Source organism: Homo sapiens, chromosome 20 (assembly GCF_000001405.40).
Source record: "Homo sapiens chromosome 20, GRCh38.p14 Primary Assembly".
In the NCBI taxonomy this organism is placed as follows: domain Eukaryota; kingdom Metazoa; phylum Chordata; class Mammalia; order Primates; family Hominidae; genus Homo; species Homo sapiens.
The window spans coordinates 17,762,465-17,780,190 of record NC_000020.11 but is presented as its reverse complement, the minus strand read 5'-3'; the positions used below and the strand labels follow the sequence as shown (position 1 = coordinate 17,780,190).

At 48.6% G+C, this 17,726-nt stretch overlaps 1 annotated feature.

Moving 5' to 3' along the window:
* Window positions 14,884–15,385: an enhancer, noted in NCBI's record as "H3K4me1 hESC enhancer chr20:17745451-17745952 (GRCh37/hg19 assembly coordinates)". NCBI's record gives its function as "activates a minimal SCP1, AML or CMV promoter by ChIP-STARR-seq in naive H9 embryonic stem cells {active_cell/tissue: H9 hESC(naive)}" and the evidence as "EXISTENCE:reporter gene assay evidence [ECO:0000049][PMID:30033119]".

The following is a 17,726-nucleotide window of genomic DNA, read 5'->3' as shown; positions in this document are numbered from 1 at the left end:
CCTATTTTCAAATAAGGTAGCATTCTGAGGTACTAGCGGTTAGCACTCCAACATATCTTTTTGGGGACCACAATTCAACACATAAAACAATGAGATAAATTTTATTTTTATTTATTTATTTTTTTTTCATTTTGTTTTTAAACAATTTTAATAAAAAATTTAAAAGTAATATCACGTTACGTGAAGTTTGAAACTAGAGAATGGAAAAGATCACCCCAAATCCCTTCATCCTGATTCAAGGTTTTTTTGTTGTTGTCTTTTTTTTTTTTTTAATTTATGTTGTTAATTTTATTTTATGGTTTTTTTTTGTTTTTGTTTTTTTTTAGTATTTATTGATCATTCTTGGGTGTTTCCCGCAGAGGGGGATTTGGCAGGGTCATAGGACAATAGTGGAGGGAAGGTCAGCAGATAAACAAGTGAACAAGGGTCTCTGGTTTTCCTAGGCAGAGGACCCTGCGGCCTTCCGCAGTGTTTGTGTCCCTGGGTACTTGAGATTAGGGAGTGGTGATGACTCTTAACCAGCATGCTGCCTTCAGAGCATCTGTTTAACAAAGCACATCTTGCACCGCCCTTAATCCATTTAACCCTGAGTGGACATAGCACAAGTTTCAGAGAGCAAGGGGTTGGGGGTAAGGTTATAGATTAACAGCATCCCAAGGCAGAAGAATTTTTCTTAGTACAGAACAAAATGGAGTCTCCCATGTCTACTTCTTTCTACACAGACACAGCAACAATCTGATTTCTCTATCTTTTCCCCACATTTCCCCCTTTTCTATTCAACAAAACCGCCATCGTCATCATGGCCCGTCCTCAATGAGCTGTTGGGTACACCTCCCACACGGGGTGGCGGCTGGGCAGAGGGGCTCCTCACTTCCCAGAAGGGGCGGCTGGGCAGAGGCGCCCCCCACCTCCCGCACGGGGCGGCTGCCGGACGGAGACGCTCCTCACTTCCCAGACGGGGCGGCTGCCGGGCGGAGGGGCTCCTCACTTTTCAGACGGGGCGGCCGGGCAGAGACGGTCCTCACCTCCCAGACGGGGTCGCGGCCAGGCAGAGACGCTCCTCACTTCCTAGACGGGATGGCGGCCGGGAAGAGGCGCTCCTCACTTCCCAGACTGGGCAGCAGGGCAGAGGGGTCCTCACATCCCAGACGATGGGCGGCAAGACAGAGACGCTCCTCACTTCCCAGACGGGGTGGCGGCCGGGCAGAGGCTGCAATCTCGGCACTTTGGGAGGCCAAGGCAGGCGGCTGGGAGGTGGAGGTTGTAGCGAGCCGAGATCACGCCACTGCACTCCAGCCTGGGCAACATTGAGCACTGAGTGAACGAGACTCTGTCTGCAATCCCGGCACCTCGGGAGGCCGAGGCTGGCAGATCACTCGCGGTTAGGAGCTGGAGACCAGCCCGGCCAACACAGCGAAACCCTGTCTCCACCAAAAAAATACGAAAACCAGTCAGGCGTGGCGGCGCGCGCCTGCAATCCCAGGCACTCGGCAGGCTGAAGCAGGAGAATCAGGCAAGGAGGTTGCAGTGAGCCGAGATGGCGGCAGTACAGTCCAGCTTGGGCTCGGCATCAGAGGGAGACCATGGAGAGAGAGGGAGAGGGAGACCGTGGGGAGAGGGAGAGGGAGAGGGAGACGGAGCTTGTTGTTGTCTTTCTTCCTTCCTTCCTTCCTCGATAAATTTTAATAATATATTTCATGTAACCCAATCTATCTGAAATATCATTTCAATGTGCAATTAATATAAAACTATTAATAAGATACTGTATCTTTTCTTCCTTCCAGGTCTTGCAGTCAGTGTGTGTTCCACCCTCACAGCACATAGCAGTTGGATTAGATTAGCTGCATTTCACATGCCCACTGCTCACATGTGTATTGGAGGGCACCGGTATCTATGGAGTTAATACAGCCATGCAAATCGGTGCAAGCTAAGACCAGTTAACAGCAGCCCAAAGAGCTACCTCAAAGTAGATGTTTCAAATATCTGACCTTAGGCACCCCTCTACTCTCCTCAGTAGTTTCTCTGCCCACCTCTTCCCCATACTTAGGGATTTCTTTTGGGGTCCAGGGCAGTGTAAATATCCGGCCAATTCAATGTGACTTGTAGTTATTTCATAGATGTCTGGAAAGCCCAACTGAAGGGTCAGCAGACCTATGACTGAACCAGGGATGCTGAGCCAGTGGGGTGAGCACAGATCCCACTCTGGTCTCCTAAGGCCTCATTCAGGGCTTGGGCCCAAATCCCATAGCCTGTGGGTGTGGGGAAGGCATCCTAGAAGGACTCATGCTTCTCAGACTCCCAGCCTCCATTGCTGGTATTCCTGGTGCCCATCTCTCATCCCCATCAGCCGTACATTCCCACCCATCCACCTCTGATGCCAAGGGACATCTTTAACTTGGGATCCCAGATGTGCCAGTTCAGACCTTGGTCCCATCTTCAAATAGAGGCTGTGGCCCCCTGGCTGTCGGAGGCTTGGATCCTCCAGCTGGGAACCTGGGAAGGTCCACCCAGGGTCCCTTATCCCTTAGACATCTCTATCAAGTCTCTCAGGGTGCCTAGTGCTTTCCAGGGCATTGCTTCATGCTTTACTGGCACCTTGTAGGACTCCTGGGCCTTCAGAGGCTGGAATGGAGGGAGGTACACGGGCTTCTGCTGCATTTCGCAAGTTTGGGCAGTGAGCTTCACTCAACCTACAGAACCCAGGGCAGAAGCCCAGCCCCCTCCAGGCACACATCGAGCCTCCGTTGAAGGTGTTGCATTTCCAACTTTAATTTCTGTGTCAGCGACTCTTTACCACGTCCCTGTGGCCTCATATTTTCCTTTATCCCCAGCATCCTGGCTGCTCCTCTCAGTTTGACAGGCACTGCCTTTCCATTCCCAAGTCCTCAGTGGCCTGTGTCCATCTGATCTCCGCCCTGTGTGTGCTGTAGAGGGTGTCCCGGCAAGGGGCCTGGGCCAAGAGACCCACATGAAGCTTGGGGCCAGATAGGGAATGGGCAAGGGAAGCCCTGCTATCGGATACAGGGCCCCAGAAGTGGTCCCTGAGGCAAGCATTCAAAGGCAAGTTGTTTATTTGTGATGTGGCCCTCAGAGATATTGATAGGAGTGAGACGAGGAAGGGAAATAGGTGTCTTAGGAAGTAGGTGTTGGGGCTCAGAAACCAATACCCCAAAATATGGCATTTTGACATGCTCAACTGAATGTTGGAAATAATGTTTAAAATTTTAAGGAAATTGAACATTTAAAACAACATGAAGAAGCTTCAAGGTCTCTCTGACCTTTCCCCTGCCCCCACTGTCTCTCTCAAAGAAGCTGAAGTCCCTTTATCTGCCTAAGACCCAGACCCACCAATGAGAACAATTGTTTTTTCCTTCCCCTCCCTCTAAGACTTGTTCATTCTCCCTAGAAATCCCTTCAGAAGCATTTCTCATTGCCCCTCCCACTTTGGCAGGATAGTATATAAGCCTCTGAGCCACCATGGGGCTGGGATCTCCTTCTGAAGGCTCTCGTGTGTATCTGTAAAATAATTTTGTCTTTTTTTTCTTTTTCTTTTTTTTCTTTTTTGAGACAGAGTCTCACACTGTTGCCCAGGCTGAAGTGCAGTGGTGTGATCTCAGCTCACTGCAGCCTCTGCCACCCGGGTTCAAGTGATCCTCTCCTGAGTAGCTGGGATTTCAGGCACACGCCACCACGCCTGGCTAATTTTTTTGTATTTTTTGTAGAAACAGGGTTCCGCCATGTTGGCCAGGCTGGTCTCAAACTCCTGGCCTCGAGTGATCAGACCACCTTACCCTCCCAAAGTGTTGGGATTACAGGCATGAGCCACAGCGCCTGGCCCCTGTTCTATTATTAATTAATCTGCCTCATGTCAGTGATTTTTCAGCAAAAAATTTTTCAGCAAGCTTTTAGGGGGCCCAGGGTTGTGGCCCCCACACAGGTTACCACTGTGGTCAAGTGGAGCTCAACTGCAAGGGAAACTCAGGGAAGCAGTGGAGCCCTCCCTCAGAATTACCCCCAAGGAGAGTGAGCTGAGGTGTTTATACACGAACTCCCATCAGCCATGGGCTGAGGGTTGTGGGGGACAGAGGTTGATTCCCCAGCCCTTCCATTGTGCCCTGGGCATGGGCAGGGCAGCCTTCTGAGGCTTCAGAGAAAGCTTTTATGTAAAAAGAGGCAGACCCCAATAGATGGAGTCTGCCACACCTGCCATAGCCACCTTCCAAGGAGCGCTACACACCCATCCATTGACCGCATGTTGGGCATATCCTCGTGTTGGACCGAGTGCTAGTGGCTGGGGCTCTGATGGTAGGCAAGACAGGCAGCCCCTGCCCTCTTGGGGCTAGATATGGCAGGAGATGAAGATACTTGCACAGGTGATTGCACAACAGCACCATGGATGCTCTGAGGAGGGTGCTAGAGGAGCACCCAGGTGGAAGCAGGGAAGGCTTCTCGGAGGAAGAGATGTTGCAGCTGAGAGGTGAAGGGTGAGCTGGGAGAAGTGATGGGCAGCTGCAGGAGTTGGCTGGTGTGTTGGGAAGAGTACTGTTCCTGGTAGGGGAAATGATCTATGCAAAGGTGAGAGAGATCCCACGTGACCTATTTAGGGACCTGAAGTGGATTCTATAGGGGAGAGTGAGGTGTGGAAAAGAGGAAGGGTGGTGACAGAGGAGGCTGCAGTCAGCTCTGGAGAGGTCCTGTAAACCCTATTGAGGCATTGAGATTTTTAGCCTGAGGACAAAGGTAAGAAGTTGAAGAATCCATCACGCGAGTGGCGTCCCCAGATTCGTGTGTTGGAAAGATCTCTCTAATGGCCGTGTAGACACTAAGGTTGGGGGGATGGGTGCAACAGGTGTAGTGGGGAGACCCAGCAGGGGCTGGAGGTGATGGTGGCTTGGATTGGGGATGGTAGCAGAGGATGGAGAAAAAACGACCTTTGCCTCTCGATGGCATTTAGGGGATCCCTAATAGGGCGAGAAAAGCAGGCAGCTCTGGGCTACCTCTTCCCCTTTTCCAGCCTTTACTTTTATCTTTTTTTTTTTTTTTTTTTGAGACAGAGTCTCGCTCTGTCGTCAGGCTGGAGTGCAGTGGCGTGATCTTGGCTCACTGCAACCTCTGCCTCCCGGGTTCAAGCGATTCTCCTGCCTCAGCCTCCTGAGTAGCTGGGATTACAGGCGCACACCACCACGCCCAGCTAATTTTTGTATTTCTAGTAGATACGGGGTTTCACCTTATTGGCCAGGATGGACTCAATCTCTTGACTTCGTGATCCGGCTGCCTCGGCCTCCCAAAGTGTACTTTTATGTTTTCACTTCTCAACTTGTTGACTTCTTTATTGGCATATAACTTAGAGTAAAGGGCATGAATTATAAGCGGGCAGCTTGCTGGTTTTCTGCGTATTTTCAGCTTCCAGCAGGGTCTCTCGCACTGCCCCCTAAACTAGCCATTGTTCTGACCTTTGTCATCATGGGGCAGTCTTGCCTGTCCTTGACCTTCAAACAAAGGAATCCCACAGCAAGCTTCCAGAGGTTCCTCCATGCTGCTGTGTGTGGCGGTAGTTTATACTTTTTCTCATTGTGTTGTGTTCCATTGTATGAACACACACACATAATTTATATCTCCTCCTGCTGATGGATATTTGGGTTGTTTCCTGTTTGGGGGCATGATGAGCAGTGCTCCTATGTGTATTCTCGTACATGTCTTAGGAAGCTTCTATGCAGCACAAGCACTGGTTTCTGGTAGACATATACCTAGGAAGAGAATTTCCAGGCTTCATTTCTAGGAAGTTCTCTTTCACCTTCCCCCATTCTTAGGCAATAGGGAAGGTTTAGGGGCAGTGGGGGATAGGCCATCCTTACGCTGAATGTGGTCGCACAGTTGGACAGTTGCCCACTTACCGGGCACAGGGTCTGTCCACAGCCGAGGTGCCCACTCGCTGTTCGTAAGTGGACACAGGCATTCCACTGAACTGGAAATAGCACGCTCTTGTTATTTTTAAGGCTTACCTTCTTTTTGGTTTTTCCTTTTTTCTTTTTTGGGTAACAGTCTTGAAAGAGACTCTTACAGGGAAAATAACAGAAAGCAAAGACTTCTGTATTTGATTCATAAAATGATTTCTCCAGGGATGAATCCACCGAAACCTCCTAATTCAATGTCACTCAGAGGAGTCCATGGACATTTGTGTCCAAGAATATTAATAGCAGTAACTTAAAAAAAAAGCTTCTTCCATCAGGGAAGTTTGGGAGACACCCAACTGAACAAAGTGAGTTAGGTTTTCTTACTCAGGACTTGTTGGAGCCTCGGTCAGTCTCCAAGAGGCCCCCTAGAAGCCACTTTCTCTCGGCACAGCGTTTTGTGGGCTGGAGAACCCACACTGGGAAAGCCTGTGAGGAGGAATATTTTTGAAGTATTCTTGGAACATGTATTATTGTTTTAGTCTCTGGGGCCTATTTCCTCCAAACCTGAGCCTGCAGTGGAGGTTGAGCCGGCAGGGCATCATTCTCGGCATGAGCCATGCAGCCCTGGGTCCCTTTTTGCATTTGGCTCCACCTGATTCCGAGCATGGGGCTGACTGATCCAAGTTCAGAGAAACTAAGTTCATACAAAACCAGGCCTCAGAGGAGTTCCCAGGAGCTCCTGGGCACCCAGACCCATCTACAAACGGTGGAGGAGCTTCGTCCCTACACTTGCTGGTCCTTCCAGCTCCTCCCCCAGATATCTCCAGAGCCACTGCCTCCCCTCCTCAGGCCTTGACCTTCTCTGTGAGGATTCCGCTGACCACCTTGAAGTCACAGCCTTGCCCCCACCCCCAGCACTTCGTATTCACTTTTCCTGCTGTTTCCCCTCCTGAGCCCTTACCTAGATTTAACATACTCCATCTACTTATTTATTTATTTACTTGAGACAGGGTCTCACTCTGTCACCCAGGCTGGCATGCAGTGGCATGATCATGGCTCACTGCAGCCTGGACCTCCCAGGCTCAGGTGATCCTCCCACCTCAGCCTCCTGAGTGGCTAGGACTACAGGTGCCCACCATCACGCCCAGCTATGTTTTGTATTTTTTGTAGAGATGGGGTTTTGCCATGTTGCCCAGGCCGGTCTTGAACTCCTGGGCTCAAGACATCCACCTGCCTTGGCCTCCCAAAGTGCTGGGATTACAGGCGTGAGCCACCGTGCCCGGCCTCCATCTATTTACTTAACTTGTTGATTGCCCCCTCCTCCTCCAGCTAGAAGGCAAGCTAGAAGGCAGGAAGGGCAGGGTTATTATCCGTCTTGCTCTGCCATACCCCAGAGCCTGGAACACTGTGCGGCAAACAGTCGGTGCTCAGCAGATGCGTCCAGAGTGAATGAAGTGTGTCCACTGTGCTCTTGTGAGAATGCTTTCTTCTAATTTGTGATGTTTCTGCCTAAAGAAGGTCAAGTTGCCAGCCTGACTTTGGTAGATGGGAACCACTGGTGAGAACTCCACCTGCTTCCCTCAAGACGGACCTATCTGTTATGTATTCTGAGGCAGGCACTTTGCTGGGGGCGCACACAGGATTCCAAAACCCACTGTGAAAATGCACACCCCAGGGAGTGCATTCAGACTGGAAAGCAGGCTCTTTTATCTTTCTTTTTATTGATATTGCATTTGAAAAATACATACATACAATCAATAAAATACACAAAGTGAGGTTTCTTTCTCACCTCGAACCCCTACATTCCACTTCTCCTCTCCAGAAGCAACCTTTGTTAGTTTCTTTTTTAGCTTTCCTGAGGTATTTCATGCATTTATAAGCATTTTTTTCTTTTTTCACAGGTGATAACACACCATACATGCTCTTCAGCATGTGACTTCTTTCACTTAACAATATGTCTGGGAGGCACCTCCACCTCAGAGCATAAAGAGCTCTCTTTGAAAAGGCCACAGAATATTCCATTAGGTGGATGTACAGGACTTAACCTGCTATTGTCCATCGGCACGAAGGTTGAATCCAGTTTTTTGTCTATTACAAGCAATGACATGTGTATACTTTTGAAAGGAGGGAAAGAAAGGAAGGAAGGAGGGAAGGCAAAGAGAAGGGAAGAAAGACAGGAAGGAAGAAAGAGAAAAAGAAGGAAGGAAGGGAAAGAAAAAAAAAGAAAGAAAAGGGAGGAGGAAGGGAGGGAGGGAAAGCAAGCCACCAACGTGGTTCAGAATTTGACAAATATTTATTGGCACATATTTTAAGTGCCAGGCCTATTGTTAAACTCTAGGAAGCTCCTGCCCTTGGAGCCAGTCTAACAGTGAATCTCAAAGTCCTGTCGCTTTTTTCTCTTCAGAGAAATTCCTCATGGCTTCTCCTGGGGAGGGGAGCGGCGAAGGGGAAAGTAGGGAAGAGGCTCTGCTTAGCTTTGAACTGCACTCAGGGCACGGTTGTATGTGGACGCACTCAACCACAAGCACGGTGGCCGACTCTCACAAATGTACATTCGGGCAGCCTGAGGGTTATGAGTTTGTCATGATATATTTAGAGCGAGCAAGAGCCCTTTAGTGGTGCCCCGAGCCAGAGAGTAAATAGCTGCTTACACGGGCATTTAAAGCCAACATAGAAAGAGGCTGTAATTGCAGTGCTCAGGAAATGCCATACTTGAGAGCTTTTCTAAAATGACATGCTATTTGACCCAATATTTTCCAGAATGCAGAGGCTTCTTTGATCTTTGCAGCACGGCGCCCTTGCACAATGACTGGGTCACAGCAGCACTCCGGATGAACATGCCCCGCCGGGGGTAGAGCTGGTAACTGGGAGGACTTGGGCTGAGAGCTGGTGGACCAGATCTTGGGTTGAATTCTCCCAGAAGTAGAGAAAGATGGAGTTCAGAAGATTGTTTGGAAACGCATTTCTGGAAGCCCCCCTGGGGAGCGGGGAAGGGAGACAAACCTGTTCAGAGTATTGATGGGTAGTTAGCACCGTGGACAAGCAGAACTCAACACTGTAGGGGCCTTGGGAGATGGCAGGGACATGCTTCACAGCAGCCCACCTGAGGGGCAAGGAAGCTGGAGTATTTATCCCACCAACATCCATTCCTCATTGGCCAGAGGTGTCTTGGGAGGGAGTAGGGGGTTGAGTCTCCAATCAGCCCTGCTTAAAGCTGGGGAGAGAAGCTGTTGGGTTGGCCTCCATAGGATTTTTATAGAAAAATCTCCCAATTGCTAAATGTTGGCAAATGATCCCCAATTTTCTTTTCCTTTTTTTTTCTTTATTTTGAGACAAGGTCTCACTCTGTTGCCCAGGCTGGAGTGCAGTGGTGTGGTCATGGCTCACCGCAGCCTCAACTTCCTGGGCCCAAGCGATCCTCCTGCCTCAGCCTCCTAAGTAGCTGGGACCACAGGCATACACCACCACACCCAGCTAATTTTTAAATTTTTTTTTGAGATGGGGTCTCCGTATGTTGCCCAGGCTGGTCTCTAATTCCTGGACTCAATCAAGCAATCCTCCTGCCTTGGCCAAGGCAGGCAGATCGCTTGAGGCCAGGAGTTCGAGACTAGCCTAGCCAACATGTCAAAGTCTCTTATCTACTAAAGATACAAAAAAATTAACTAGGTGTGGTGGTGCACGCTTGTAATCCCAGCTACTCGGGAGACTGAGGCATAAGAGTTGCTTGAAACCAGGAGGCAGAGGTTGGAGTGAGCAGAAATCACGCCACTGCATTCCAGCCTAGGTGACAGAGTGAGACTCTGTCTCAAAAATAAAAATAAAAATTCCATGAAGTCAGAGAGAGCTGACAATTTACTCCTCCTCAGTTGATTATACCTCAGCTTACTTTTTTCTTTTTTTATTATACTGAAAAGTTGCAAAATACCTCAGTTTATATGAGTTTTCCAGATTAAAATATTATTGCTTTTTAGTGAAATCTTTACAGATGAAATGATGTTTGGGATTTGTTTCAAGGTAATATAGGAGGTGAAAAGTGGGTCAAGTATAGATACGGAAAGATTGGTCATGGATTGATAAGAATTAAATTGGGTCACAATAGTCATATACTATTTTTTATTTTATTTTATTTTATTTTTTGAGATGGAGTGTCACTCTGTCGCCCAGGCTAGAGTGTAGTGGCACAACCTCGGCTCGGTGCAACCTCCGCCTCCTGGGTTCAAGCAATTCTTGTGCCTCAGCCTCCTGAGTAGCTGGGATTACAGGCGTGGGCCACCATGCCTGGCTAATTTTTATATTTTTTATAGAGACAAGATTTTGCCATGTTAGCCAGGCTGATCTCAAACTCCTGACCTCAAGTCATCCACCCACGTCAGTGTCACAAAGTGCTGGGATTACAGGCCTGAGCCACCATGCCTGGCCTAGTCATATACTATTTTTATAAATGCCAAACATTTTATGTAATAAAATTTTGAGGGAAAGCTTTGAAAGTTGTTATTGTCAATGAGTGGATTGAATGTGCACAACAGAATAAGAGCGGAACCGAGTGGCGTGCTGAAGGCAGGCAATACCTGGGAATAAATTTTACACTGTCAGGTGACATCTCTTCATGCACATTTCACTCTAGAGCCTAAAGTAGCATTAATCTTGATTTTAGAAGTGGCTCTAAGTTCTAGAAGAGAATTTAGGTCTCTGTCTTGGATTGTCAGCAAGTGTTCTTGAGTGACTGTTGGTAAAACAACCTTGAAGAAAATTCTGATGTGGTTCTAGAGTCACATGGGAAACAAAATGTACTTGAAGGCTGTGTTGTGCTGGAGCCAGCTCATGTCAGGTCTCAAGAGCCAATTACGTGCATCTTTTCTCAACTCTGCTTTTATCGAGATCAGGTTGATAGTTTGAAACTGACCACGGTAGGAACCTGTATATCATGGAAATTGGCAGATGCTATAAATAGGACTTTTTTTTTTTGAGAGCTGGTTGTTGCACAGGTACCACCACACCATGGCTGTAAGGTCTTCCCTGGGACTCTGAGGGTACAGAGACAGTTGCCATTTTAAACGTGTGCAAACCCACTCTTGAAACAGATGCTGTCAACACTTATCAGAGCTTAGGCAAAGGTAAGATTGCCAGAGAAAGGGATGCAGCGGCAGATAGCTTTCCATTAGAAAGCTGATGGTGTTCAAATGTGCCTGTCACAGGGTGTGGACCACAGTGGATACCTTGTCCATGTCAATAAGCTTTTGTTGAGCACTTTCTAGGGGACTGGGGCAGGTTCTGAGGGGAGGTGATGCGTTTGAAAAGGATGGCAGTTAGTTTCATCTGGAGTGCTGTGTTGAGAAGGATTCTGAGGCTGGTCTGGACTCAGCAGGGAAGAGAACAGCTATCTCCTGATCATGTCTTCCATGTGAATGGCAGGCATTAGTTGCCCTGGATCTAATACCGTGCCAAGCCCTGGGCTAGGCCCTGGAAAATGCATCCCTCTGGCTCTCAAGTAACTTAAAATATTGTGACCCATAAATATTTGTTCCCTTTTTCATCTGTTTATTTATTGATCCATCCATTCTTCTTAGGCTGCCTCGAATGATTTATCAGCAACTTTCCTGAAAGGAAAGCTTAAGACCACCTGATATTATTTTATTTTATTTTTTTCTAGCCACATCATTTCACACCATATTTTTATTTATTTATTTATTTTTAATTTTTAAAATCTGCTGTTTTGGGCTGTTCATTTACCACTTCTCCTTTGTCTGGAAACAGTACCCAGTTTCCTTTGGGGGAACCCCTCCTTCTCTCTTAGTGCACCCTCTGGCTCCCGGGTGGCAACTCAGCACATCAGTGCCCTTGGCCACAGTGATTGGCTCAGGCTGAGCACACAACCCATGTTAGACTAAGGGAAGCCACTCCTGGGAACTGCTTGGGAAAGAAGCCCTTCCCTTTCCACCGGTATTAATAAGCAGGCAAGACATGCTTGTACTGTTGGTGGCCATGCCTTTTATCACATGGAGAAAAGTAGCTTGAAAGTGTAGCCAAAAGAGATAAAAGAAGAGATGAAAATGAGAGTAGGAGCTTTCTGATATTTTTGAGGACCTGTAGCCTGCTATTCCTGAAGCCAACACCCCTGGGCTTCTTGGATATATAAACCAACACATTTATTGTGTTGCTGTTTACACCAGTTAGAACTGGATTTCTGGCCCTTTCATAGAAAGCCCTGGTAATACCCTGCACTGACACCTCCAGAGGATCCAAAGGATAAGAAAGAACGAAGCCACGTAGAAAGACATCACTACTACATAATGAGCAGTAAAGGCAGTTCATTTCCAGATTGGTCCCAATGTTAGGAGGATTTTGACCAGGCTCTAGAGGAAGCCCACATGTTGTTGGACTCCCAGGCTCTGTGCATTGAGGGCAGAGGAGGACTACCCTGCCCCACCCTACACCTGGCTGCTCACAGGTGCCAGAAAAGAGCCCATGATATGGCCTCTCTTCCCAGTGTGCAGCACGTGCCCTTGGTGCAGACTGTGAACAGCACTTAAGGAAACAATGAGTGTTTGCTACTGGGATCCCAACCCCAGAGAGAGCACAGGGGCAGCCAAGGAGATGGAGCATTTTGGGAGCTGAGCAGGGGCTATCAGTAAATGTGTAAAGCTGAGTGAGGTGCCTCGTGCCTATAAACACAGCACTTACGGAGGCCGAGGCGGGTGGATCACCTGAGATCAGGAGTTCAAGACCAGCCTGGCCAACATCGCGAAACCCTGTCTCTTACTGAAAATACAAAAATTAGCCGGGTGTAGTGGCAGGCGCCTGTAATCCCAGCTACTCAGGAGGCTGAGGCAGGAGAATTGCTTGAATCCGGGAGGTCGAGGCTGCAGTGAGCCAAGATAGCGCCACTGTACTCCATCCTGGGTGAGGGAGCGAGACTTTGTCTCAAAAGAAAAAATGTGTAAAAACAAGTGGACTTTCAAGTGACTTCCAGGCTTGGGGGGAAAGAGAGGTTTGCTTGTCTCCAGTAGGTCTTTTATTCTCTCTGAAGCTTCCTATACCAGCTCTGTGAGCCCTGGGGGCTGCCATCCCATAGTTAAAAGAGTTTTAGAGAGGAGACAGGACCCCGAACCCAAGAGAGACCTGTGGGGAGGAATGCTGGGTTATGCTAGAATTCCTGGGTTCAAGGACTAATTTGTGCTCGGCCTTGTGGACAACTGAGCTTATCCCTGTGTCCTTCCTATTGAAGGGCAGGTGACATCTTTTCTTCCTTTCATTGCTACCAACCACGGCTGTGCCTCCGTCATGGCTTACCCAGACCCTTCCATCACCTCCTAGCTGGTCTCCTCACCTCCACTCTGACCCCCTTACAGCTCTTCTCTACAAAGTGCCAAGCTGATCTTCCCTAAATATAAATCAGGTCATACCAGCTTCCCACTGGGAACTCTCCTTCAAATTCTCAAACCACTCTGGAACACTCTTTAGCAGAATCTACTAAGGTCACCGTAAATCTACTCTATGACCTAGCAGTTCCACTCCTGGCTGTATACCCCACAGAGACAGCACCGTGACCACCCACAGACTTATCCAAGAATATTCATAGCCACATCTTTCACTATGGCCCCCAACTGGGAACAACCCAACTGCCTATCAACAGGAGATTGGATAAATACGTTGGGATATATTCACACAACAGGATATATACATAGCACTTAAGAGGTATGACATGTACATTTCCATGATGTACATGCTGCTACACGTGGTAAAATGGGTGACTTACAGATACTATGTTGAGAGAAAGAAACCAGATGTAAGAGAGCACATAGCCACACGTTTCCATTTATACAAAGGTCAAAAACAGGCAGAGCAAGCCTTCGATGATAGATACTGGAACAGTGGTTATACTAGAGGGAGCTTTTGACTAAGAGGGGACATAGGGAGCCCTTGAGGGGACTGAAGATGTTCTGTCTTGCTCTGATGGTGCCTTCATGGGTGTATATATATGTAAAATGTGTTGATCTGTACACTTAAGTCTGGTGCATTTTATTGTGTGTTAATTATACCTCAATATGGAAGAAACCAAAACCCATCCAGTAGGTCCCCACTTCTCTGAAAATAAAACCTTCATTTCTCTGAGAACTGCATAATCTTCCCTGCTTACCCCACTCTGCTCCAGCCACACTGGCCGTCTTTCTATAAACTCCATCCTGCCTCAGGGTCTTGGCACCTGCCATTTCATCCTCTTGGAATGTTCTTCCTCTGGGTCTTTGCATAGCTGGCACCTACCTGGCATTTCTCCTCCCCCAGGTAGTCCCTATCCCAGTTAATATAATCATTTCTGCCATTAAAGCCACGAGCCCTACTCCTGCCCTCTCGGCCATTCCCTTCCCCCCAGGGAAGGAACAAATGGGGCTGATGGGAGATTTTCACCCAGAGCCCATGCTCCATCTGGTCACAGCCTGGAGCCCTGGGACCCTAACTCGACCCAGACCACCCAGCCCTGCCCCCAGGGCTGCACAGGGCTTTTTTCTCTGGGTCTGTTTTCCCATGGGCAGATTGCAACACAGGCATGTGTACCCGTGGAGGGGAGGGTGGTGGGAGGTGGCTGTGAACTTGGGTTGTATTAAAGCTCCTTCAGACACAGTTCGGAGCATAGAAAGGGTGTGGGCTTTGGACCGGTAACATCCATTGGATCGCTTGTCTATCATCTACAGATATTAGGGGTGTATCTATTATTATCCTGTTAAATTGTCACAAATTGTCAGTGTCTTATTTATTCATTTGCTTTTTATATGTCAGCGCTGTGAGGAGAGGGGTGTATTGCAGCATCTGGTACAGTTTCTGGGACCTACTGGCCTCTCCGGAGGCTGTGAGGACTGTGGCATGGAGAAACAGGGCTGAGCTGAGCCAGTCGGAGGAGTGCCATTGGCCTCAGAGCATGGCAGCCCTGGCAGGCTGGTGACAGCTGGCCTGTCTCAGCTCCTCCTCAGGGGCCTATGACCCATTCCCTGGAGGGGCAGGGCTCACCTACCCAGCCTTGGCTGGGCCTGGCCTGGAGTCCATTGCAGCATATGCCTGGGCTAGACTGTGGCTGGGGAAATGTTTGAGTCCTGGAGACAAGAACAGTGCCCCCATCGGATGTGGCTCAGCTACTCTGGTATGAGACAGGTCAGGGAGGCGGGTCATCTTCGAAGGCTGCCCCTGCCCTGGGGGACATTCAGGAGGCTTGGGGGTTGCTGTAGAGCCTGATGGACCTGCACCCTTCTTATACCTCCTCACCTCTCATGAAGTCCAAGAGGCCAGGCAGTAGCTGCTATGGTTTGGATTGGTGTTGTTTGGCCCCACCAAGTCTCATGTTGAAATGTGATCCCCAGTGTTGGAGCTGGGGCCTGGGGGAAGATGATTGGGTCATGGGTGCAGATCCCTCATGAATGGCTTGGTGAGAGTGAGTGAGTTCTCACTCTTAGTTCCCAAGAGAGAGCTGGTTGTTGAAAAGAGCCTGGCACCTCCTCCTCCTCTCTCTTGCCCCCTCTCGCCATGTGATCTGCACACGCCAGCTCTCCTTCGCCTTCTACTATGATTGGAAGTAGCCTGAAGCATATGTATGCCATAGTATAAAGCCTGACAGATTCTCACCAACTGAACACACTTAGGTAACCAGGACCCGGGTCAAGAACCACTGTGATCCCAGCCCCCAGCAGCCCCTCACACCCTGTCTGTTCTGTGCCCTGCTGAGGCAGTGCCGCCAGTGGACAGCAGAGATTCACTTTGCCTTTTGCACTTTATAAATGTGGCAGCACCCAGCAAGTGCTCTCTGTGTATTTGGCTTCCTTTGCTCATCACGATGTCTTTGTGTAGAGTTTTAGGTTGTTTATTCTTATTACTGGAGAATATTCCATCAAATGAGATGGATTATCTGTTCATTTATTATGATTATGATTATGATTATTTTTTGAGATGGAGTCTCGTTCTGTTGCCCAGTCTGGAGTGCAGTGGCGCGATCTCGGCTCACTGCCATCTCCGCCTCCTGGGTTCACACCATTCTCTTGCCTCAGCCTCCCGAGTAGCTGGGACTACAGGCGCCCGCCACCACGCCTGGCTAATTTTTTGTATTTTTTTTTTTAGTAGAGACGGGGTTTCACTGTGTTAGCCAGAATGGTCTCACTCTCCTGACCTCGTGATCCGCCTGCCTTGGCCTCCCAAAGTGCTGGGATTATAGGCGTGAGCCATATTTATTCAATGTATTTATTCATTTTATCATTGATGGACATTTGAGTAGTTTCTGATTTGAGGCAACTGTGACTAATGCCACTGTGAGCCTTCTTGATTATGTCTTTTGGTAACCATAGACATGCTTTCCTTTTTTTTTTTTTTTTTTTTATGAGACAGAGTCTCACTCTATTGCCCAGGCTGGATTGCAGTGGTGCGATCTCAGCTCACTGAAACCCCCACCCCCCAGGGTTCAAGCAATTCTTCTGCCTCAGCCTCTCGAGTAACTGGGATTACAGGCACCTGCCACTGCGCCTGGCTAATTTTTGTATTTTTAGTAGAGACGGGGTTTCACCATCTTGGCCAGGCTGGTCTTGAACTCTGATCACATGATCTACATGTCTTAGCCTCCCAAAGCTAGGATTATGGGCGTGAGCCACTGTGCCCGGCCAAAATGCTTTCCCCTTAATTATGTCCAGGAGAGAATTGCAGGGGCATGGGGTGAGCGCATGTGGAGGTCAACTTCCATTAACTCATAGAACATGGTTAGTTTTCTCTTGGGGAAAGGGCAGGCTGTGGTTTTCTAAGGCTTTCGGTCGTTCTCATTTGGGGTACAAGGTGTATGGTTTGGTTGGAAAATATTCTTTTTTTCATATTAAAGAAAGTTGCCACTTCCTCTTCTCCCAATGACCTTCACAGATAGGACTGCCAGAGCCTGGATCCTGCAGGACCACATTCCTTCTTCCTCCCCAGCGCTGTAGGGAGGGGAAGGAAATGGGATCATGGTGGTGGGAGGAGACAGAACCCTGAGGTCCTACTTGGTGCCTTGTTGTCTGCACCACCCAAACCCAGCAAGAGAGATAGACAGAGAGAGTGAGAGACAGAGAGACTGAGAAAGAGCAAGAGGGAGAGAGAGGCCAAGACAGAGATGAAAGACCGGGAAGGTGGAGAGAGATTATGGCTGATAGAAATGCAGAATGAGAGAAAGAAAGGGAAGAGGAAGAGAAGGAGGGAGGGAGAAAGAAAAAGAGGGAAAGAGGAGAGTAAAGACTGGGAGAGAGATTAAGAGAGGAGGAGACACACTGCGAAAGACAAAGACAAAAAGAGGGAGAGAGAGAGAACCACAAAAACAAATTCAGCTACAAAGCAAAAAGGAATGAAACCTGGGGCCTGCGAAGTGAAACCAGATAGCTCTGGGAAAAAATCTGTATCTTCAAATAGGTGACAATTGTGTTTTTCTACCAAATAATTGTGAGATGTGACTTCAATTTGAAAGGTTCACAGAGCTCAACTCAACATAACTCCAAGGAAATGAGATAAGTGAGGCCTCTGGCTACTTCAGAGGCAGCAGGAGCCTTGGAAGGAGGAGGGAGGCCTCCTAGGAGCCAACCAGGACCTTTCCACCGCAGTCCTCAAACAGCCAAGGCCTTCTGGTCCTGCTGGCCAAGCGCGGTGAAGGGACTGGGTGAAAGGAGGCTATAGGAGAGTAATTCTTCTCCAGGACAAGCAGCAGGCCCATGGTGGGTTTCTCAGCAGCCTCTGGCCCAGCCCCTCCCCTCAGACACCTGCCCTGCACCTGTGGCGGCCTGTGCTCTCCTCTTGCTTATAAAGCAGCAACCTCTTTTTACCGCACCAGCCTCACTCAGA